Genomic DNA, 24,709 nt, shown 5'->3' on the forward strand with positions numbered 1-24,709 from the left:
ATATCTACTTCCCATAGCTACTAGAAAGGAAAGATAACTCTCTCTTTCAAGGGCCACAAGTTTGTGCTTTTGGGTGCTCCTAAAGTCCATCAAGCCTGTACACTGCATTCTAGGAAAGTCAGGGCATATTGTTACATACTCATACAAAGAAAATGCATGTGGTATTTCAGGGTAGTTCTTACCTTCCTAAGTAGAGTTCTTACACATGTGTAAGAGAGATAGCTACTGAGAAAGGGAGAGTGGGAATGTGAAGAGATGCGTAACATGCAACTTAGTAGGAATTTTGATCTGTTTCGTGTTTCTCTGGGTTGGGCACAGCTTGACAGGCTTATATGTGGATCACCACATACCCTCACTTCCCCTTTCCCTATCTCTTCCTCCTTCCTGGCTTTGAGGGATAGGATATAAATGACATCTTCAAAGCATGAGAAGCCACTTGTCTGCAGACTTGTAGGCAGCAGCTCACCCTCATGTGCAAGTCTTCTGGCTCTGGAAACAACTCTAGCTCAGTCTTCTCCACCATGAGCCTCAGACTCAAAGCCACCCCTTCCTGTAACAGTGCCAGACCATTTCATGCCCTGCAGGTGTTGCTGCTTCTGTCACTGCTGCTGACCGCTCTGCCTTCCTGCACCAATGGGCAAAGCAAGAGAAACTTAGGGAAAAGCAAAGGTAGAGACCTGCTGCCTGCACCTGTTGCTGCTTCTGCTATACCTGTGTCTGGGAGAAAGACTAGCTGGTGCCCCTGGGTCTGGAGAGTGCCATTATACTAACAACTCCAATTGGAGGGGGCACACAGAGGGGGCACTTCACATGTGCTGAGCATTCTGCTGGGCACTTTACTAAAGCTTTACAGATCATATTCACAATGGCCTTATGAGAGAGGTACAATTACTGTCAATTTACAAATAAGGAATTGAGCTAAATAGTCATGGCCACTAATAAATCACATTTTCTACTCCACCTGAATGTGTAGACAGTGACTTGTACATTGAACTGTGCTGCGTGTGTGTGAAGTCAGCCTCTGGAATTCATCCCAGCAACATCATCCCAAACATCCACATTTATTTGCTGTTAATTATCATGGGCATGTCTAGTCTAACAGTAGAGTAGAGCAAGAAAAATCAATTAAAATGTATTTGGAAGTAGATTCTCAAATAAAGAGGGCAAAGCATTGTGCAATGGTCAGCCAGGAATTAGGGCTAACCTAGGATGGATCACCAGCACTCATCATTTGGAAGTGGTCAGGTCAGGAGCCCCTTGCAACAAAGTCCAAGTGATGTAAGTCCCTGCTTCTGTGTCATTGCTTCATCAGGAAAGCCCTACACCTTCACCTCCTTCCCCATCTGTATTGTTTTCTGTTTCTCAACAGATAATTCTGTTGTCTCTTACAGAGCCATGCTGAAAGATGGGAGGAAAATGTACCTGGACCCAGAAGCTCCCAGAATCAAGAAGATAGTCCAGAAAATGTTGGAAGGTGATGGGTCAGGTGCTTAATCTGTTCACTTTCTGCCAAACCTGTTTACCTCCCAGGAAGGGCAGGATTTTAAAGCCTTGACTTTTTTGAATTCTTATTTTATCCAAGATACCTACTCTTACTGTATTAAAATCCAGGTATGTTTCCATTCTCTCTCAAAAATCACATTTTATTCTGAGAAGGCTAGTTAAAAGATGACAGAAAGAAGATGAAAATAAGCAAGCCTAGTTTCAACATAGTACATGGTTTACTCTCTAATTCCTGGCTAACCATTGCACAGTGCTTTGCTCTCTTTATTTGAGAATCTCCTTCCAAACATATTTTTGTTGATTTTTCTTGCTCAGTTTTACTGTTAGACTAGACATGCCCATGATAATTAACAGATTTTATAATGGTCAATGATATAAGAACTCACACAGAGCCCAGCATAGAATATTTGGTCAATAAATTTTTGTTAAACTCTTTAGGGATATAATAGAGCTTTCCAATGTGCTAGGATGTCTTGTTTACAACATTCTCTGAAAGATTTTCTAATGTTTATTTTAGCCTTCCAATGCTGAAAATAGTAAAGTTGTTGAATGTTCAGTTTTGTAAGTTGTGATTATTTACTTTAAAGTGAACATATTTGTCACTAGCAGAGTAACAATATATAACAAAAACATATCCAGATATTCTATAAAGAAAACTATGGTATTTTCTGGAACAACAAAAAAAGAAAGTTGAAAGAAATTTAAAATCTTGCCCCAACATTAGATTACTTAGTAGGTGACAGAGTGGGGATTTGAAACTCTGCTCTTAATACTGCACCACACCACTTTTCTTAACTCTGCTTCCTCGAATGAGGAGATTACATTACATATAACATAGTATTATTGGCACACAAAATAGGATTTATTGCATAGATAACATACTGTATACTATAATGATTATAGGAGAAGAAATAATTTCACCTATTCCAACTTGTACGTGGACTTTGGGGAGGTACTCATGTACTAAGCATGTAGTTTACAACTTTTGTGCTATTAAGGAATGCTCTTATTATCTCCTCACCATCATAGGCTCAATACCTTAAAGTGTTTTGTCTATAAAATAAATGTATATATTAAATAATAGCCAAAACGATACATAAATAAACACGTAATAAAGCAGTAAATGCAAATTGCAATTCTTCTCCTTAGTTTTTTTTCTCAATTATTCAAAGTAGCTCAAGCATCTCACTCATATCTGTAGTGTTTTACCACTGAAACTTGTCAACGCCAGCTCCTGAGACATAACACAGTGTTGGCACTACATTTATTCTTCATGAGATGCAGGTATCTCTTATTTTTGTGTGAAGTTATTGAGTTATTCTATTTAGATGCAGAGAAAGGGTAGTTTAGTTGCCACTCGCTGCTGCCTGAATTCCTGTATGCTGCCAATATTGAAATCTCCGGGTAAGATTGTACAGACCTACTATGTTGCCCATTGAAATGTAAAACCATCCCTTTTATTTATTCTCTCCGCTGTTAACTTCAGTTTCAGTTCCATGGAAATGTATGAATTACAATATGTTCTGCCACAGCCATTGAGTTGTACACCAGATGTTTAAAAATACAGTCAAACATTGCTTAACGATGGGGATAAGCTCTGGGAAATGCATCACTAGGCAATTGTTTTCATTGTGTAAACATCATAGAGTGTACTTACAAAAACCTAGTATAGCCTACTACACACCTAGGCCATATGTTATGGCCTATTGCTCCTAAGCTACAAACCTGTACAGTATGCTACTGTATTGAATACTGTAGGCAAATGTAACACAATGATAAGTATTTGTGTGCCTAAATATATTTAAACATAGAAAAGGTACAGTAGAAGTATGCTCAAATAGAAAATGGTAAACCTGTAGAGAGCACTTGCCATGAATGGAGCTTGCAGGACTGGAAGTTGCTCTAGGTGAGTCAGTGAGTGAGTGATCAGCGAATGTGAAGGCCCAGGACATTACAGTCCGATCCTGCAGGCTGTATAAACACTGTACACTTAGGCTACACTAAGTTTCTAAAAAATATTTTTCTTTATTCAATATAAATTAACCTTAGCTTACTGTAACATTTTTATTTTATAAATGTGTTAATTTTCTAAACTTTTTCACTTTCATAATAATACTTCACATAGAATACAAACACACTGTACAGCTATATAAATATATTTTTTCTTTTCTATTCTCATTCTATAAGCTTTTTAATTTTTAATTTTTTCACCTTTTAAATTTTTTTATTGAAAACTAAGACTCCAACATAAAAATTTGCCTATACAAGGTCAGAATCATCAATCACTTTCTTCCACATTCATTTCTTATCTCATGGGCAATAAGACATATGGAGTGGTCATCTTCTAAAATAACAATGTCTTTTTCTGGAATATTTTCTGAAGGGCCTTCCAGAGGCTGATTCATAGTTAACTCTTCTTCCATTAGCAGGAGAAGGAGTTCACTCTAAAATAATGATTAAAGAGTATAATATAGTAAATACACAAACCAGAAACAGTGTTGTTTATTATAATTATCCATTTTTATGTACTGTACATACTTGTATGTCATATACTTTTATGCAACTGGAAGCACAGTAAGTTTGTTTACACCAGCATTACCACAAACACATGAATAATACATTGGCTTGCTATGATTTTACAACAGCTATGGTATCACAAGGCAATAGGAATTTTTTAGCTCCACTATAGTCTTATGGGATCATCATCACTTATACAGTCTATTACTGCCCAAAACGTTGTTATGTGGTGGGTGACTGCACATAAGTCACAGAGAATTGCTATTGAAGAGATCACTATCTTGTGGGAGAGGCAGACAAGTGGACAAATAATTTTGACCATATGTGACACGTGTCAATATAGATGTATGTTCCAATTATATGCTCTAATTGCTCCAATTGAATAGACATAGGAACACGTCAAAGCCTCATCATCATCATTTTCAACACATTATCTTCACTACTGTAGCTACTTTGCACTGAGTCCCTACCAGTACATTGAAATAGTGATAAACGTTATGATATCTAATGTCACAGTGTTTTCCATTTAAGAAACAAAACAATTTTAAACACTTTTAAATACACAGATACACATACACACACATATATATATATATATCTACAATATATGTGTGTGTATGTTTGTGTATTCTGTGAGAAATACGAAGAACAGAGTTCTGCAAGATAGAACAACAAGGGAACACAATTATATATAGCTGTCAGGGAAGGCACACCTGAGGAAGTGATATTTAAGCTGACACCAGAAATATGAATAGGTCTTAGCCAGCTGAATAGGCAGGTGTAGGGAGAGTAGGAGAAAGAATTGCATATTCCTACAAAAATGCAGGTTTGCTGAGCATTAGAATATCAGCTAGTTCCATCCAGTGGGTCCCTGACACCCTTCACCACTGTTAGTCAGAGTGACAGGGAACCTTGGGCTTTGGGTTGAGGGTGTACCTTGCCCTGATCAAGAGCCAAAGTCATTCTTTTTTAGAGAAGAGAAAACGGTCGATATGGATCTCTTCCCCTTTCCCGTGTGGGATTCTGTTGCATCCCCTTCACTGTCACCTCCCATCATTCTCACACCCAACTCCCAGATGCCCTGAATCCTCCCACAGAGAGCATCACTGCTCCCTGCCAACAGTGCAGCCCATCTCACCCTGTCACTGGCAGTGACTGAGGACACAGCAGGCTCTGGAAGACATGGCCTGGCAAACTCTCCTTGTCCTCTCTTCTGGACTATTATTCAGGATTGAAACAATGAAGAAACATCCAGGAGCTAAGTTTTTATAAAAATAATGCATTCAAATATTACTTCTGCAATTTTTCTAAGAGTAACGGGAAATAGATCTTGCATCCTACAGTATACTGGGTGATTGTTGGTGGAGCCTGGTAAATCTCATCCAGAGACTAGGGAAGTTTTCCACATTCAGGTGAAATTCAGAAGAGTCATCACCTAGAGACCAAATTAAACTTATTAGTATTAGAAAACAATTGCAAATAGCACACTCTTCAAACACACAGCCATCAAACTCAATGGTAATCAAGACTGAAGTTAGGAGCATATGGGCAGTTCTTGAGTTGAGAAGGAAACAAGAACTGTCTGGGTCCTGAAGCCACCTGCTGTGTAAGTTGCTTGGTGACTACAGAGAACTCTACTATGATACAACACAGAAAATATTTCTCTTCTAAGATGCAAGTAGTGTTTCTAACTCCACAAATGTAAGTGTATATAAACTGAGGTTGGAGGTATGCATCTTTGTACCACCTCCTAGCCAAGGCAGCTGCCCCCAGCCTTTTGTTTTGTAATCTTGGCTGGCCAGAGTCTGAGTCTTCATAGCAGTGTCTTAGCTCCTGCACCACAGTTCCTCGCTGTCCACCCCAGGCTTCCGGACTGGAAGGACAGTGGGACAGTGACGGGGGATAAAAGAAGCCTGGTGAGGCCAGGAGTCACTGCCTGCAGAACCCCAGCCCGACTTTCCCTGCGCACTGGGATCCTGCTGGAACCTCAGCTGCAACATGAGCTCCGCAGCCAGGTCCCGCCTCACCCGCGCCACCCGCCAGGAGATGCTGTTCTTGGCGTTGCTGCTCCTGCCAGTTGTGGTCGCCTTCGCCAGAGGTGAGAGCAGAAACCAGGCTGGGAGGGCCAGCAGCGGCGAGGGGGAGTCCGGGAAGCCCTGGGGCTGGGGAGGAATCCTCTAGGATCATGATCGCAGCTGCTCTTATTGCGCGCGTGCTGAGTCTGCGGGTACAGTGCCAGGCACTGCACGTGCACCTCGCCACCTGATCAGCACAACCTCTGTCTGAGAGAGGTCTGATTTACGGCTAAGGAAAAGAAAGCTGAAGGTAGTGGAAAAGGTCCCTAAAGTATCTCTGGCTACTCAGGGAGTCACAACTCCCACCCCTCCTCCTCTCTTACTCCCTCCCTTTCCCCCTCAGCTGAAGCTGAAGAAGATGGGGACCTGCAGTGCCTGTGTGTGAAGACCACCTCCCAGGTCCGTCCCAGGCACATCACCAGCCTGGAGGTGATCAAGGCCGGACCCCACTGCCCCACTGCCCAACTCATGTGAGTCCTCGCACTGCATCAGTTAGTGCTCCCGCTCCGTGCCTCCTCTGCCCATCCCTCCCCCTTCTAATGCCATTTGCAAACCCAAGGACTGAAAGTCACGTCTCTTCTCTTTTCCCTGCCAGAGCCACGCTGAAGAATGGGAGGAAAATTTGCTTGGATCTGCAAGCCCTGCTGTACAAGAAAATCATTAAGGAACATTTGGAGAGTTAGCTACTAGCTGCCTAAGTGTGCACTTTCAATCTAACTGTGAAAGAATCTTCTGATGTTTGTATTATCCTTCTTATATTATATTAACGAAATAAATCAAGTTGTGGTATAGTCAATCTATTTCTTAATAATACTGCAAAAATAATGCTGACACATCACAATTTCATATTTTAAAATTTCCAGAATTTTAAGCAAAAAGCATTATGAAGGAAGGCTTGGTTTAATAAAGACTGATTTTGTTCAGTGTTATATGTTAGCTGATACATATTTGTTCATTTATGTGATTGCAGTACTTTATAGCTACATATTTACCTTGAATGTTACAATTAGCTTGCCAATAAATATTAGTAGCTCTTAAGCATTACTCGACAGCTTTTTTTTTTTTCAATGAAGTAAATAAGCAACACTCTGCTTTTATCCCCACAAATTCCTTAACATTGGTGATATTAAGATTCTGGGAACTAAGAGAAGTGTGAGGTAATATTTTCATTCATCCTTTAGGAAGACATTGCTCTACACTGGGGAGAAATGAAGGTGTTATAATGTGGGCATATTAGTTTCCTGTTGCTTCTGTAAGAAATTACCACAAACTCAGTGGCTTAACCAACACAAATTTATCGTCTTGTAATTCTAGGGGTCTCAAGTCCAAAGTAAGTCTTAAAGGTTAAACTCAAGCTGTCCTCAGAGCTGTATTCCTTCTGAAGGCTCTAGAAGAGAATCTACTTCCTCTCCTTTTTCACCAGCATTCCTTGCCTCATAGCCCTTTCTCCAGTCTTCAACCTGCATCACACCAACCTCTACTTCTCCTCTGTCTCTGCTGACTCTTCTACCTTTTATATCCGGCTTACCTCTCATAAGGAGGCGTGTGAATACATTGGGCTCACTTGGATAATTCAGAAACGCTTTCCAACTCAAGTTCTCTAATACATCTGCAAAGATATATATATATATATATATATATATATATATATATATATATATATATATTTTTTTTTTTTTTTTGCCATGTTAAGCAACACATTCATAGTGTCCAGAGAGTAGAACACAAGGATCTCAGGGGTGGGGGGCATTATTCAGCCTACCACCATGGACCAGAAGGCAAGACCTACTTGAGGCAGGAGAAAGCTACAGACCCTTGTTCATGAGCTAGTGCAATTTTAACCTAATGTGACAATGTGTACAGATAGGATTAAGATCTATGATAAAATACAGATGGTACAGTTCAATCTCTGTGGTGGGCTGGAAGGGAGGGAGGTACCTAGGATGACAAATTGATTAAAATAAACAAAATTTACAGAGACTTGTGAATATCATCTAAAATTTCCACATCCACATTGCAAATTAGTATTATTCCTATTATAGAGATGAGGTGACAGTCTTGGGAAGGACGCAGCTTGTTCAGAGGCTGAGCAGATCATTCTGACTCCCTACTTCCTGCTCTTGCTTTCACATTGTGCTGTCTTTCACACAGGAAAGTGGCATGTTAGCGAATTCCATGAACTAGCTGTTGAAGGTGGAGTAGGAATTTGTTGGCGGGGGGGGGCAGGCGGGCAATGGGAAGACTGGAACTGCCTCAAGATAAATAACAAGTAGAAAGACACAAGATCATTTTAAGTCATTTGCATGTTTGTACAACAGTTCATAGCACTGCAGGGTTGGAGTATCTATGGGGAGAGAGAATGAACAAGGGTCTCCCAACCAGTTTTTGCCCACTTAGTGTTTTTTATCTTCAGTATAACTTAATGTACTACCACCCAAACTATCTTTCCAAAACCCAAATATTTCATTTCCCTGAATAAAATATTCAAGATCCGAAGTCCTTAACCTGGCATCCCAGGCTGCGCTACACTCACTTTCCCTCTGTGCCTTAGTTTTCATATGTGTGAAATGAGGACATTATGAGTGTCTAACTTTATGGATTGATTATCTTAAGGACTAAACAGAGGATGCATGCAAAACATTTGGCACAGTTCCTTATATACAGTCTGAGCTTAAAAATTAACAACGATTAATTGTATTATAGTATTATATTACCGGTATCAATATTTCTCTTAATGTACCATTCCAGTTAGTCTGGAGTGTTGAGTAAGAATTTTTTATTTTTTATTTTTTTGTAAGACAGTGTCTCACTCTGTTGTCCAGCAACCTCTGCCACCCAGGTTCAAGTGATTCTCATGCCTCAGCCTCCTGTGTAGCTGGGATTATAGGCAAGTGCCACCAAGCCCAGCTAATTTTTCTATTTTTAGTAGAGACAGGTTGGTCTCAAACTCCTGGCCTCAAGTGATCCACCGGCCTCAGCCTCCCAAAGTGCTTGGATTACAAGCATGAGCCACTGCGCCTGGCCTGAGTAAGGAATTTAACAGAGGGTTGTTTTTTTTTTTGTAATAGGTAGCAAAAAAAATTGCAATAGCAATGAAATTGCTCAAAACAAATGAACTTTGAAGGAGAAAATACTGGAAATCAGATGTGTGTGGTGTGATTTTGTTTTTGCTGCTTTCCTTTTTGTTGCCTGTCTCAAACAGCATACTTAGCTTTATTTAATAATTTGTTGATGTGACTTTTAAAGGGTCAAAAGAGCAAAACAAATTTTGCCAAGTCAAACAATCCTGGAATGCTGGTGCCTCATACATTCTTGCTTCAGAATGACTTTGGTCTAACTGTCCTGAGAACACTTTTGAGTCATGTATTAATCTGTTTTGCATTGCTATAATGGAATACCTGAGGTAATTTATTAAATTAAAAAAAAAGAAGCTTATTTGGCTCACAGTTCTGCAGTCTGTACAAGCATGACACCAATGTCTGCTCAGCTTCTGGTGAGGCCTCAGGAAGCTTTTACTCATGGTGGAAGGCAAAGGGGGAGCAGGCATTTGTGATGGTTAATACTGAGTGTCAACTTGATTGGATTGAAGGATACAAAGTATTGATTCTTCACATGTCTGTGAGGGTGTGGCCAAGGAAGATTAACATTTGAATCAGTGGGCTGGGAAAGGTAGACCCACTCTTAATCTTGGTGGGCACAATCTAATCAGCTGCCAGTGCGGCTAGTATATAAGCAGGCAAAAAAAATGTGAAAAGAGAAACTGGCCTAGCCTCCCAGCCCACATCTTCCTCCCATGCTGGATGCCTCCTGCCCTCAAATATTGGACCCCAAGTCCTTCAGTTTGGGGGCTCGGACTGCTTCTCCTTCCTCCTCAGCTTGCAGACAGCCTATTGTGGGACCTTGTGATCGTGTGAGTTAATACTTAATAAACTCCCCTGTGTATATATATGTATATATTTTTTCCAGCCCAGCTGGAAAGTTAAATCTTCTGGACTACAATGTTCCTTTAATCTCAGTCTCCATCCCTGACCTGGGGTTGGAGTCTCGAGGAAAACCATGAACAACAGCTTCTGTGGTAAAGATGCCACACCAAATCGGATGTTGTCTGGATTGTTGAATATATATGGAATACACACACACACACACACACACACACATGCACACACACACATATTCCATTAGTTCTATCCCTCTAGAGAGCCCTGACTAATACAGTGTGTCACATAGTGAGAGAAAGGGAGCAAGAGAGAAGGAAGTGCCCGATTCCTTTAAATAGCCAGTTTTGTGAAGTAACAGAGTGAGAACTCATTCATTACCGTGTGGAGGGCACCAAGCCATGCATGAGAAATCTTCTCCCATGACCCAAACACCTCCCACTAGGCTCCACTTCCAACACTGGGGGCCACGTTTCAACATGAGATCTGGAGGGAACGCACATCCAAACTGTATTAAGTTACTGCCTTTATCTGCATGGGCATGGGGAGAGGGCTTTGCTCCTTGGAAAATCCCAAGCGACACAGCAACTCCCTGTTGTTGTTTCAACATTCATGGAGTAATAAAGATTCAGTGCACTTAAACTCCCCTCTAGATGGAGGCAGTCAGCATAAAATGTCCACAAATTAGGGACTTACCACATAGTCATGGTGTCTATCAATGAAACAAAACCATCAAAGGACATTTTGACCTTGCAAGTTGTTCTGTATTTTTATTATTGCTTTTTTTCCTTCTAAGACCTTTGTGGTAAAATAAGTTCCTCTGTAATGCATAGGATATTGAAGACTTCTTTGTTTTTAAATACATATTCATATTTTTCTCATTGTAAAAGACAATGCATCTTCACTCTAAGTAACAGAAAACAGAGGCAAAAGAATAGAAACTATTTTTTAAAACTTGTAATTTTGCCACTCAATGTTCTTTTTCTTTTTGGACATATTATCATTTGACATGGTTATAAGTTGAACTGCTAATTTTCAATACAATATCAATTATTTGTACACAATCATAAAGAAAACACTTAGTAATTACTTAAGTGCATTGCAAGCACTTAGGGAGCATTCCTGTCCCAATTTTACAAATAGGAAACCAAGTCCAGGGTAATAGAATTAGTTTTCTTTGGCCAGAGAATGAATAGCTAACCTATGTGATCCAGCATTCACTTATACATATATGTAGATCCTATGATTCTTATATTCATTGTGTGTATATGTATGTGTGTATGAATGTATGTATATATTTCCACACATACAGATACATACACACTCACACAAACATAAAACAAGTTCATAATGCAATACTTATATTTGCTTTGTACTGTGTGTCCTCATATTTTGTGTTCTATTCTACTCTATCCTACCACATTCCATTTTTTAAAAGATGTTGGCCACACCACTATAAAGTGATTTCATAACCTACTGATGTACCATGATGTGTAGTTTAAAAACACTCCTCCAGTTCTTTGATTAAAGAGTTAAGTTGTGACGGTCTATATTGGATTCCACACTCCAGATAAAATGCTTGAAGAGCCATTAGGGGCAGGATACTAAGGCCTAGCTGAAAAGTTAAATCTCCTGGTCTATAGTGTTCCTTTAATCTCAGTCACCATCCCTCACCTGGGGTTGGAGTCTCGAGGAAACCCATGAAAAACAGCTTCTGTGGTAAAGATGTCACACCAAATAGGATGTTGTCGGGATTGTTGAGACTCTAGGTCCTTTTCAGCTTGGGCTACCATTTATATTTCCTGACCATCTGCTTCAGCCGTGTACTGCCTAGCTTGGTCCCAAATGTAAATTGGGTTAAGAACAGAAAACACATCGATTTCTAGGAGGGCTCAAATAAAAGCAGCATATTCACACTCAGTGGACTTAACTAGCTGTTATATAAAATTCTTCCCATATGGGTTTTTTCCTTATTATTCCTGTAGATGCTGGCATTAGCCCAGTGGGCTTTTGAGAAAGACAGTTTGGGTTGTATCTCAGCTTTGACTCTGTGTGACCCTGGGTCTCCTCAGTTCCCTTATTCCAAAACAAGGACAATAAAGCCCACCACACAGGGTACTGAAAAGGATTAAATCACACTTACAATAGGATCCAGTATGGGTTCTTACTCAGAATTGAAACCTAGTAAATAAATGTTTCCTTTCCTCTTCTTGGAGTTCTACTCTCAGGGAACATAACATTTCCAGCAGAAGCCACAATCCCTGAGCTAGCAACCAACTCTTTAAGAATACAGCCAATAAGCCAGTACTTCCCTTGCTCAGAACCACAACCCAAAGCTTGGGTGCAGACAGCTAGTTAAGAAAAAATTTAGCATGACAGACACAAGTAGTATTTTCCTGATAACAACTAAAAGAAAATTAAATAACAAAACCACAATGTTTGTCAGCCAGCATATCTGTAAGATTATAAAATATACAGGACATCTAGTGAACTGTATATTTATACAGGAGGCTGGCTTAGCTATTTTTCCAGGAAAGAAAACAAGAAAAAATAAACTTTAGACTTAAATTTGCCAAGTATTTACTTCTTCACTGAAGCAGGCACAACATGAGGATTATGTCACTATTCAGCATTTGTGGTGAGAGGCAATCCAACTTGAAACAGAGCAGTCAAAACAGAGTTGGAACAGCCAGCTCTTACTTATCAGCTGTGTTGGAGAATCAGTTTTCTTTTCTCAGTAATTCTAGGGATAGCTATAGGGAATGTTAGGAAATAAGCAATAAAGCAATTTACACACGCCTCCATCAGAATAACTATTAAGCTTCACTGTAATTATTCCTTTATCTATTTTCCTACTTTAAATCAGAGAATAAGGATTAAGCCTATTCCATCTCTTCATTCTGGATTTCAGAAAAATGCCTGATAGAGTAGGTGTTAAGTAAATGTGTGTCAAATATTAACTACTTGGAGAAGAATAAATCTGCAGTTAGTGCTGTGAAGTAATGGTGCAGTTGGGTGCTAAGGATAAGCTACTCAGCCAACAGAAAGTTAGTTGAAAATTAAAGAAAGACACCGTTTTCCCAGCTCTCGATCTTGTTAGGCTCACTGATCTCATCAAGTTATTCATAGACATTATAACACACCCATACTATCTGCCTCATCAGTGATTTGTTTGATGTTTTAATTAGAGTCGCATTCGTAACTATTAGGGACTCTGTTAAGAGTTCCCCTCGTCTGTCTATTCACGTGCTCTCATCATACACAGATGCTATGATATAGACATATTAAACATTATTTTATTATAGATGTTTGCTTCAATGTACAACATACAGATGGTAAATTACACACAACCAAGCCCTTGTTCCTCCTCTTTCACTATAATACCCACCATATCTAATTAGATCTTGTATTTCTTTAGTGTCCTTAATTAACTACTTACTTAATTAACTAGAAATGTCAATCAAGGAACTAGCTCAGTCACACACCAGTAGAGCAACCTCTTTGAAATCAGTATTGTTCAGGAAAATCTGTTTCAAAGATTACCTAAGTAAATGGACTGATCAAGAAGGTAAAAAGGAAAACACAAATATTTCTTACCAAAAAATTGAAGGATAATGAATGTTGGAAAATACTATGGACAAGATGTTAACATAAGTTCTCATGATGATTCAAACTTTTCTTTGCTGAAATCTGCGTTTTTATGCTATGTATGCTATTTTCATTTGTGGTTTATATGTTCATCCTTCAATTTCCTAAATTTTGTTTTCGGAATGACAAAGTCATAATAACGTTTTCTTCTCCAAAACAAATTTCTTGCATAATTATTTCCAAGAGAAACTTTTCATTTCCTTATCCTTTGCAATCCTGTAATTCTTTTTTTTTTTTTTTAAATATATGCTCATGATGTCATTACTTGGTGAATACCACTTCCAGATAGGTCAGAAAACAATCTTAAAGAAAACAGAGATGCAAAAAGATTTATAAAAACCTTTTTAAAAAACAATAACCAGCCGGGCATGGTGGCTCACGCCTATAATCCCAGAACTTTGGGAGGCTGCGGCGGGCGGATCACCTGAGGTTGGGAGTTCGAGAACAGCCTGACCACTATGGAGAAATCCCGTCTCTCCTAAAAATATAAAAAAATTAGCCATGTGTGGTGGTACATGCCTGTAATCCTAGCTACTCGGGAGGCTGAGGTAGGAGAATCACTTGAACCTGGGAGGCGGAGGTTGCAGTAGCCGAGATCATGCCATTGCATTCCAGCCTGGGCAACAAGAGTGAAACTCTGTCTCAAAACAAACAAACAAACAAACAAAAAAAAAAAAAAAAAAAAAAATATAAAAACAATAACCACCCCTCCAAAAAAAAATCTGGCAAAGCTAATATATCAAATGATTCTCAGTGTTACCTGAATGATTTTAAGTATCTGTAGACTAATCATAACATCAGATTATCATGCCAGGAACAGAAAAACAAATAATATAGCATTGCAAGAGAAAGTAGTCAGGCTAAACAAAGAATTTTACATTAGAATTCATATTTTATCCAACTTTTCCTCTTCTACTAAACTTATCACTGTGCCTTTTACACGCAGATGAATTTTAAAATGTGTGGGAAGAATAGCTATTATCTACTCACTTACTGCCTAGATCATGAACCTGTAATGACCTGGATTGTTCTATCAGCCCTAAGGCAAATGACCTATAAACCAAACACAGATATTCCAGCTCCATCTGTGACAAGGACCTCCCTGGCCTTATTCCTAACATTGTTCCCCTTCTGTTCCACACCTGGGAGAGCTCAAGCCCTCTGGCTTTGGATGCAGGTCCCATCTGTCTCTTTAAATGTATTGGCAGACCTGGGCATCAGAGCTTTCTAAGGACTTTGGTTCAGACTCATTACTCTGGCTTTCCCAGGTAGGGGATCCCCTTTTCTAGCTCTTACTATAGAATTCAAACTGTGGCTCTGACCCAACTGTCATATCTGGTTTCATTAAATGTCCACTGGCATCTTTTATTCTGGTCCTGAAAAGTCAAAATAGGCAAAAGAAACTAAGGAAATTCCACACTCCATCAAGGGAAGCTTCCACATATCCTGACTTAAGGATATTTTAGTTTTAAAACAGTGACCTGAAACCATTGACTCATGCATTATGTCAGCAAACATTTGTTGAGTGCTTAGCATGAACCAGACTCATTTTAGAGACTTTTTCTTCTAGCTCCTTCTAACTCCCTGTTTGAAAACTTATCTTCATGTTTACATCTTCTTTTTCCAGAGTCCTGGCACAAAGCTTCCCGTGAACTTTCAGGACCAGATATTCATAGTTTTTGATGGGTCCCTAGGAAAACCACTGGTGTGAGAGAATTTTAGAGTCTGGTGGATGCAAACAGGAATGAGATATATGATGGCTTTCCTTACAGAATACACAATCCAGTATGGGAGTATGTAAATCAATGCTCCCCACAATGTGATTTGTATCCAAAGGCCAAGATAACCCTTTGGAAGGAAAGATGGGATTTTAATGGAAGTGACATTTGAAATGGTCCTTGATTGATAAATAGGAGCCTTCAGTGACTGGGCCCTGCCTATCCTTCTGCTGGATCAATCTAAATGTTAAATTCTGTGTTAAAAAAATAAACGGCTGATTTTTGTTTTCAGGTCACACTACACTGTTGCCAGTTTCCATTCCTTTGCTTGTTTGGTCTGCCTCTTCTGAAGTGGGTCCCTTCCCAACTCACCTTAGGTAGCACCCTCTACCAGAAAGTTTTCTCTGGAAGCTCCCACCCTCCCAAGAAAAAGGGTCAGGTGTTCACCTCCTGTGAGTGCCCACAAAACTCTGCACACAGCTGAGTGTCTTGGACCTCCACACAATGCCATATCTTTCTGTGCCACTCTGTAGATGTGAGTTCAGTTGAAGCAAAGTCTTCTTTTCCCTCTTTGTAATCCGATTTAGAGCCAAATTTAGTTCCTGGATTATGAGTGGTAGATAAATTTTGAATGGATGAATGGACAGATGCATTAACAATAAAGTAACTAGAGCAACTATGTAGGAAAGTTGTCTGTAGCAGAAGTGTGGAAGATGGGTGGTATTAGGCAAGACTATTTCACTGGCAAGAGACAGACATCTAATTTATACCATCTCAAAAAAAAGAAAAGAAAGAAAATCTGCTGGCCTACATGACTGAGAAGTTCATAAATAAATCAGAGCCAGCTGGAGGACCTAGGTGTCCATACATATACTTAGATGGTCCCCTTCATGTCTTACCTTTGCTTTTCTCTGGGCCAAATTCGCTCTCAGGTAGGTTCTCTCCAAGCATTACAAAATTCCAGGCCCTCATTTTACCAGTTTTGCAATCCCAGTGAGAATTCAGAACCTCCTTTTCATTCGTTCCAGCAAAAATTCTAGGAACTATTTCTAATATAGCCAGGCTTTGGTCACTTGTCCACATCTGAATTAATCAGCAGGGTTAGGGCTGGGGGTGGCATACAGGAAGGAACTGAGAGATGGGTTATCTTACCTGAAATCTACAGACTAAGAGCTGGTAATCGAGGGGGTGTTCCGAGAAGGGGGTGCCAGACAAGCAGTCTTTGGAAGACTGAATAGAGAGGCTGAACCTAACTCTAGCACCCACTATGCCCTTGTACTTTGGGGGGTGAACTGATCCAGAAATCTAACATCATATTCACACATCTTTATTATTCTCTGCTCAGAGCCAGAGTCATTACATTGGAAGAGATGAGTATAGAGAAATAGGTACAGCAGGTGTGAGGGACAAGAGTTCCTAAGGCAAGTAGGGGCAGAGGAGAGCTGCCCCGCCGGTTCCTGCCTGCCTTGAGCATGGTCACTTCTCAGGATGGAGCAGTGCCTCTATTTAGGCTCCCCTAAAATACAGAGCTTGAGTCATGGGCTTGCCATGCATGTAATTGATTTGGGGAAATGTTCCCAACACAGAGGACTCAAGAACAGGAAAGAGTAAAATAGGAAAAGAGGACATGGGCAACTGGGGTTCAATCCTACTGGATATCCTCTGAGAAATGATGTAGAATGTCTGCCCAAAGCATGAAAAATGGGAAAACATGTATCTTTTGCCTCTGGTTTCTCCTGCGAAAGGGATGTTACATGGCAGCAACAGAGAAACTTTGGGCTAGTGAGTGAAAAATACCTGATGCAGCTGAGGCAGGGAGCTGCCAGGTGACATCTGCAGGCAGCAGAGTGCTACAGCAATGACAGATAAACAGGTCTAGAAAACATGAGCTCCCAGATTTGACTGCTAATTATGAAAGTTTCAATAGTGATTCCAGGCAAAATGGAATTTAGCTACCAAAGCTTCCATTTTTAAAGGTTCCTCCATTTCTTTAAGAATTGTTGCTTGCATACGTTTAAAGACTGCGTAAAATCCCGTCATTCAACTCTTGAAAAAAATTAGCTTGGAGGAACATTTGTTCCAACAAGACAATGAATTTGTTTATTTTTCCAGGCTACAGCATTCCTGTGCTTATAAATTTTGAATTTTGGTTTATGCGGATTTCATTGATACAAGTGGCATATTAAGGAGGAAATAACAACAAAAAATTCTTTCCATTCCAATTCATTTACACAAAATGTGATTTTGATGAAAATTTTCCTGAGTCAAGTTCTGTCTAATCTGCGGATGCCCACTGCTTCTTGACATGCTTAATTCGCTTCATTCTCTTGGCAGCTCCTGTGGAGCTCTGCTCCCCCTGAGCGCTCTCATTGCGTCAGTTTTGGGTTGGGTCCTGAGATGATTACAGCAGAAACACTTGTGTTTTTCTCCAGTTACCAGAACTAGATGAGAGATTTGGGCAGCGTGATTAATGATGAAGGCAAACTATTTAATCCTATGAAACATGATGAAGTGTCCAAACTCGGCAGTAGATATTTTGGATTTTCATATTTGAACAAACAGGCACTAAACGAAAATTCAGTTTCCTCTCTAAAAGCTAGCAGATGAAACACGCATGGCCATTTAATTTTGGTGGCATTCTAAATGAATTCAGAAAGAGAAACTTTTTAAAAAATAAACTATTTTAAAAAAAGAAACTAAAAAATAAAAAAATTATTTTGAAATAATTTTAAGTTTATAAAAGTTGCAAAGTCAATACAGTATCTGTGTATCTTTCACCCACTTTCCTTTAAAGTGAACATTTTACAATATCATGGTATAGTCGTCAAAGCTAAGAAACCACCGCTGACACATTACTTTTAACTGAACTGCAGATTTTATTTGGGTTTTGCCAGTTTTTCCGTTAACATCCTCTTTCTGTTTCAGAATGCAAACCAAAGTACCACACTGCAGTGGATTGTCATATCTCCATAATTTCCTCTGGACTGTGATGGTTCTTCAATCTGCCCTTATTTTTCATGACATTGACAATTTTGAAGAGTACCACTCAGCCATTTAAGATTCTTTGATTTAGGTTTGAAGCATGCTTTTCTCATGATTAGACTTGGGCTATTAATTTTTGAAAGAGCACCAAAGAGGTATGCTGTTCTTGTGACATCATATCAAGGGGGTACATGATATGCACATGACATCACACTGATGACGTAAATCTTCCTCATTTGGTATAGGGCGAGTTTACCAGGTTTTCTCATGGCAAAGTTACTATTTTATTTTTCAGAATTGTGTACTTCAGGAAAATATAACAAGCTATTTCAATGCCACAGGAAAGATATGCTGTTAGTGAAACAAAATTATAGAGATGTGTGACCATTTTGCTGTGTTTTCATTTAAGAATATGTAAATTTGAACCATTCAACTAGGGCAATAACAGATTTTTTAAAATCATTCTACTCTTGAAAGTATTAATTATATATCACAGAGTGTTTTTATCATAGTATAATAGTTAAATGCCATTTTATCTGACTTTGATTTCCAGGCTCAAGGATGTATGACCTTAGGCAAGTGACTTAACCTCTCTGCACCACAGTTTCTTTATTTGCAACTTAAAATCTCATAGACACAACAATATCTACTGATACTGTAGTTATCAGTACAAGCACAGGCTTGTTTGGAAGACTGAATGAGTTAATATTTGTAAACTGCTTAGAAGAGCAGAAAATAAATGCTCTGCCCTTTGCCTCGGGTGTAGAGGTTTAGCAATTTGCCCTTGGTATGCAGCAGCATAATCAAGGAAGCAGCATATTTTTTATTTACCAGAATTCTGTAAGCTCTTATAATTTAGCTCCTTTGTTGAAGAAAAAAAAGCAAATTTTCAGCGACCTGTGAATGTTTGTTTCATAGACAAAGTGAAGAGACATTAGAGAAGAAAAATCTCTTCTTGCCTTTTTGGTTTGTATAAACTTTATAAAATGAGCATATATTACAACTACAATTAGAAAACAAAACAATACATTTTTCAAGTTTTAAAGAATCATTTCCATGTTTCTGGAAATTTCAGTTTCCCATCAAATCCCAGAAAAAGAGTGATAATAAGAGGTGTAATCACTCAAACTTTCAATTATGCATGAGCTAGTCACACACTTAATAAACTTTAGATTATATGTCATTTCCTATTCCTTACTACTAATTTGAACCTTCCTCTAATTTTCTTGATTTTTCCCTTAGAGTCATATTGATAAATACTAGAGTTTTTTTAAAAAATAGTCATTCCTTTAGTACATCTTTTCAATAAATAAGATGAAGACTATTACATTCAAAGTCCCTTTTTATATACATGAAGTGATTGAAAGGTGGACTACAAAATAAACCAATGATCTGTCTGAACGGTAACAAATAAAATTTCATCTAAGTGTACCTCGTGGTAGAGTACATATTTGTCTTCCTTTCTGAAAGCCTGATACAGAAAATTTTATTTCAATTTTTGTAAATTCTCAGCTGAGTTTCTTTTTTAAAAAATTTAGATTTAGAAGTTTGCAGCATTGATTACAGCTTGAAACTGATGAAGATATTTGGGACACTGTATTTGGTCTCCATTGGGTCAATGCTTTTTCATTTATTCTTCCTGTTAAGAAATATAAGTAATCAGGAAGATGTGAAAAGAGAAATAATTGAAAAAGACTGGAGTACATATACTATCTACAGTGTCTGTTTTAAAGAAACAACATTCTAGCACACCTTTCTACCCTTGACTAAGATTACTGTAATGAGAGCACCAGTACCCCTGAGTAACCGAAAGGGCATTTTGGAAACTGAGCTTTTGGTGTTTATATGAACATTCTGTCTTCCAGGACCTGCCTTGATTTATTCAAGACTCATACTGCTGTATATGGTGTTGTATACATTAGGGGTAGTTGGGTAGCAGTAACTGATATAGAAAATTTTAAATGTAAAAAACACTGGGGAGTGAACCTTTCCATTATATATATATATATATATATATATATATATATATATATAAATATATAAATATATATATAAATTCACATCAGGATGAGTTTCTGTTTAGGCAATGTTGGAAAACGCTATTTCCATTTTTTTTTTAAACAAATATTTAACAAACATTTATAAGGCACTTAAATCCATGCTGGCTCTTACAAATGTTGACTCATTTCTCATAACCACCTTGGGGTAGAAACGGAGAGGCTAAACAATCTGCAGGCGATGCTTCACTACTAAATGCAGGTGGCAGCCTTGCCTGTGTTCTCTGCTTGGCTAGGAACACAGGTCTTACCTATTGAGCTGGGCTGTGTAGAACTCTGTTGTGGAGACATCTGCCCCTGGGGCAGAAGCCTCTGCTTTTTCCCCCTCCTCCCATCTTACTCCATGTCTCAGAGAGCTCTGAATCCCACTTGGAGAATCACACTTAAACCCTCTAAAAACCTAATGATGAATAAAAATAAGTTCTCTAGAACTTCTGGAGAAAAAAGTAATAAAGCTACCAGGTTAAATGACTGAAATTCCTGAGAGAAAACAACATGTGTGTGTTTCTCTAGAAAGGGGGCCCAATACTGAATACCAGGAAGTCCTATAGTAAATGGAATGTGACTCTATGTGGGATCCGGCGTTCCTATTTCATCCGAATGCATGTCTGCTGCTTCAGTGGGAAGGGTGCTTGCACACCAGGTACCCACTCCCTGGTGTCATGTGCTATGCAGTCCAAAGACAGAACCAGGAATGGTGAGCCCATGAGCCTGCTGGACCCAGCCCCTCCGAGGTCCGGAGTGACAACCAGTGCCGTATTTCTAGATCAAACCTGAACCCCTCCTACAGGGAAAAGATTTCCAGGGGATTTTGAAAGTTCCAACATTTTACAGGGAAGAAGGAAGATAAGCAGGATATGAAAGAAGAGTTCATGTTATACAGCCCTGGCTTCCACTGACGCTAACACTGGATTCAGCTTTTGACACTGATAATCTGTTGCCACCAAATGGAAAACGTAAACAAGATATTCTAAGTGTGGTTAGAGAATATGCAACACAAGGAACAAGCAGAACATTCTTCTCTGGAATCTGACATAATGGACTGTACTTTCACAGACAGCACTGATGTTAGATGTACGTGAAATAGGCTAAACTGAAAATAAGAAAGGCTGAGGCAGAGAGGATAATATAGCTCCAGCCTATCTCCCAGCACCTTGTTAATTTCTCTCAATCTCCAGCCACAAATCCGAGACACAACGCTCTTCCTCCAAAGAGGTCGCGCCTTCTCTGTGGTGGTTCTCAGGGATCCGCCCCAGCTCCTTCTCCGTTCCCAGCCCCACACACTGGGATCACCAGGCACCCAAGATCCCACCTCTCAGGTGGTATCTTCAGCGCAGGCTGCCACTCAGCCCCCCTCCAGGGATCTGGGGCAGAAGGCGAATATCCCAGAGTCTCAGAGTCCACAGGAGTTACTCTGAAGGGCGAGGCGCGGGCTGCATCAGTGGACCCCCACACCCCACCCGCACCCCAAGCGCTCCACCCTGGGGGCGGGGCCGTCGCCTTCCTTCCGGACTCGGGATCGATCTGGAACTCCGGGAATTTCCCTGGCCCGGGGGCTCCGGGCTTTCCAGCCCCAACCATGCATAAAAGGGGTTCGCGGATCTCGGAGAGCCACAGAGCCCGGGCCGCAGGCACCTCCTCGCCAGCTCTTCCGCTCCTCTCACAGCCGCCAGACCCGCCTGCTGAGCCCCATGGCCCGCGCTGCTCTCTCCGCCGCCCCCAGCAATCCCCGGCTCCTGCGAGTGGCACTGCTGCTCCTGCTCCTGGTAGCCGCTGGCCGGCGCGCAGCAGGTGGGTACCGGCGCCCTGGGGTCCCCGGGCCGGACGCGGCTGGGGTAGGCACCCAGCGCCGACAGCCTCGCTCAGTCAGTGAGTCTCTTCTTCCCTAGGAGCGTCCGTGGCCACTGAACTGCGCTGCCAGTGCTTGCAGACCCTGCAGGGAATTCACCCCAAGAACATCCAAAGTGTGAACGTGAAGTCCCCCGGACCCCACTGCGCCCAAACCGAAGTCATGTAAGTCCCGCCCCGCGCTGCCTCTGCCACCGCCGGGGTCCCAGACCCTCCTGCTGCCCCAACCCTGTCCCCAGCCCGACCTCCTGCCTCACGAGATTCCCTTCCCTCTGCAGAGCCACACTCAAGAATGGGCGGAAAGCTTGCCTCAATCCTGCATCCCCCATAGTTAAGAAAATCATCGAAAAGATGCTGAACAGGTGAGTTATGGTTTCCATGTACACAGGCGACTGGAGCCGTTGGTCAGAAATACTGGCATGTGCCCCCTAAAAATAAAATCAGGAAAACCCAGGGGTTAGTTGAAGGACTAGAAATTGGGATTATTGTTTTCACAATTAAGGTTTCCTTTACGATAATTACTGCTCTGGTGCCAGAGGATATTCCCAATGCCTGGCGTCCCCACCCTGGTTCTTCCTTCGTTCCAATGAATGTAGGTAAAACTGCCTTCATTTGAGGCCCAGTAGGACAAACAGCAACAGGTTCTGGCTGTTTTTAATCCAATAGTACAGTGGAGACCACCGCCCCACCCCACCCCCATTCCTAAAAGAGCATCCCAAGCTTAGAGGTCCCTGCCACACAGCACAGCTGTCATAGGCAGTAGCCACTTGGTTGCCAGGCTGGGGAAACTGCATTCGGAAAACTCTAGAGGCTGGAGGAGCAGGGCAGGAGAAGAGTGTTGTGCAATCAGCTTTCCCGAGCACCTACTCAGGGCACCCATTTTCTCATTGCAGTGACAAATCCAACTGACCAGAAGGGAGGAGGAAGCTCACTGGTGGCTGTTCCTGAAGGAGGCCCTGCCCTTATAGGAACAGAAGAGGAAAGAGAGACACAGCTGCAGAGGCCACCTGGATTGTGCCTAATGTGTTTGAGCATCGCTTAGGAGAAGTCTTCTATTTATTTATTTATTCATTAGTTTTGAAGATTCTATGTTAATATTTTAGGTGTAAAATAATTAAGGGTATGATTAACTCTACCTGCACACTGTCCTATTATATTCATTCTTTTTGAAATGTCAACCCCAAGTTAGTTCAATCTGGATTCATATTTAATTTGAAGGTAGAATGTTTTCAAATGTTCTCCAGTCATTATGTTAATATTTCTGAGGAGCCTGCAACATGCCAGCCACTGTGATAGAGGCTGGCGGATCCAAGCAAATGGCCAATGAGATCATTGTGAAGGCAGGGGAATGTATGTGCACATCTGTTTTGTAACTGTTTAGATGAATGTCAGTTGTTATTTATTGAAATGATTTCACAGTGTGTGGTCAACATTTCTCATGTTGAAACTTTAAGAACTAAAATGTTCTAAATATCCCTTGGACATTTTATGTCTTTCTTGTAAGGCATACTGCCTTGTTTAATGGTAGTTTTACAGTGTTTCTGGCTTAGAACAAAGGGGCTTAATTATTGATGTTTTCATAGAGAATATAAAAATAAAGCACTTATAGAAAAAACTCGTTTGATTTTTGGGGGGAAACAAGGGCTACCTTTACTGGAAAATCTGGTGATTTATATCAATATTTCTCAATTTTTTAATTGTGTTTATTTTTCTGGGTGTTCAATTTGCTATACAGATAAATCAAACTATGAGTTATGCTTCATTTCATGCGGTGATTGCTGCCAATACCCTTGGCTCTCACCTAGTGAAGAATGCGCTTTACTAAACTATGGGCTGGCCCCTAATGGGAGAGTCACTGATATAAATTGCCCTTTTTATAAGAAGTTTCTTTCTGTCTTGCTACTCAAATTTACCTCCTTAAAAATATTTATATTATCTTAACAAGGGCTCTCATTTCATTGCTTTTGTTGAACAATATTTCTCATAATTGTTGACAATTTAATGAAGCTGGCAGTGAAATGGTGGCTAAAATATTTCGTTTTTCAAAACTCAAATCATTTGTGTCGTCAATAGAAGCAAAAGTGAGTGGCTGAATGCTTCACCTGTGAAAAGATCTGATTGAAATTTGGGCTCAGCTTTCTAGCCTTCACATATAAGTAATTAGCACTAAGATTTGCGGTGTTTCAATCCTTTATAGCAATATACCAACTATAATGGTTTTAAGATTGGACTGCATTCATTTGCATCGTTCCTAGTGGAATTTTGATGGGACCTCATAGAGCGGTTGCCTTCTGGGGAACTCTGTATTCAATGCTGTCCCAGAACAGCAGCAGCACTACAGGTTTTTAGGACAGAAGCAAAATTGGCATGTCTAAGGAAGAAATACCCCAATAATATAAAAGAAACCACACTCCAAACCTGAAAAG

General features: G+C 40.2%; 2 protein-coding genes and 1 pseudogene across 3 annotated transcripts; all 3 read left to right on the forward strand.

The window, feature by feature from the left end:
* PPBPP1 (pro-platelet basic protein pseudogene 1) lies at positions 1,392-1,909 on the forward strand (annotated as a pseudogene).
* A 4,042-nt stretch (positions 1,910-5,951) lies between these two features.
* PF4V1 (platelet factor 4 variant 1) lies at positions 5,952-7,139 on the forward strand. The gene is made up of 3 exons (NM_002620.4): positions 5,952-6,118; positions 6,439-6,565; positions 6,691-7,139. The coding sequence occupies exons 1-3, from the start codon at positions 6,019-6,021 to the stop codon at positions 6,776-6,778; spliced, it is 315 nt and encodes a 104-aa protein (NP_002611.1). The 5' UTR covers positions 5,952-6,018; the 3' UTR covers positions 6,779-7,139.
* Positions 7,140-22,048: 14,909 nt separating this feature from the next.
* Positions 22,049-23,964, forward strand: CXCL1 (C-X-C motif chemokine ligand 1). 2 transcript variants are annotated; one of them, NR_046035.2, is made up of 4 exons: positions 22,049-22,226; positions 22,302-22,448; positions 22,562-22,645; positions 23,177-23,964. NR_046035.2 is itself a non-coding variant. In NM_001511.4 (4 exons), the coding sequence occupies exons 1-4, from the start codon at positions 22,127-22,129 to the stop codon at positions 23,190-23,192; spliced, it is 324 nt and encodes a 107-aa protein (NP_001502.1). In that variant the 5' UTR covers positions 22,049-22,126; the 3' UTR covers positions 23,193-23,964. The 2 variants fall into 2 exon arrangements, 1 of the variants encoding a protein (NP_001502.1); NM_001511.4 differs by having other exon boundaries at positions 22,325-22,448.
* Positions 23,965-24,709: the final 745 nt, after the last annotated feature.

Source organism: Homo sapiens, chromosome 4 (genome assembly GCF_000001405.40).
Source record: "Homo sapiens chromosome 4, GRCh38.p14 Primary Assembly".
NCBI lineage: Eukaryota > Metazoa > Chordata > Mammalia > Primates > Hominidae > Homo > Homo sapiens.

Coding starts and splice junctions, on each gene's coding strand:
- PF4V1 (NM_002620.4), top strand. CDS start 6,019: ATGAGCTCCGCAGCCAGGTCCCGCCTCACCCGCGCCACCCGCCAGGAG. Junction 6,119..6,438: donor TGTGGTCGCCTTCGCCAGAG/GTGAGAGCAGAA, acceptor TTTCCCCCTCAG/CTGAAGCTGAAGAAGATGGG. Junction 6,566..6,690: donor TGCCCCACTGCCCAACTCAT/GTGAGTCCTCGC, acceptor TTTCCCTGCCAG/AGCCACGCTGAAGAATGGGA.
- CXCL1 (NM_001511.4), top strand. CDS start 22,127: ATGGCCCGCGCTGCTCTCTCCGCCGCCCCCAGCAATCCCCGGCTCCTG. Junction 22,227..22,324: donor CGCTGGCCGGCGCGCAGCAG/GTGGGTACCGGC, acceptor CTTCTTCCCTAG/GAGCGTCCGTGGCCACTGAA. Junction 22,449..22,561: donor TGCGCCCAAACCGAAGTCAT/GTAAGTCCCGCC, acceptor TTCCCTCTGCAG/AGCCACACTCAAGAATGGGC.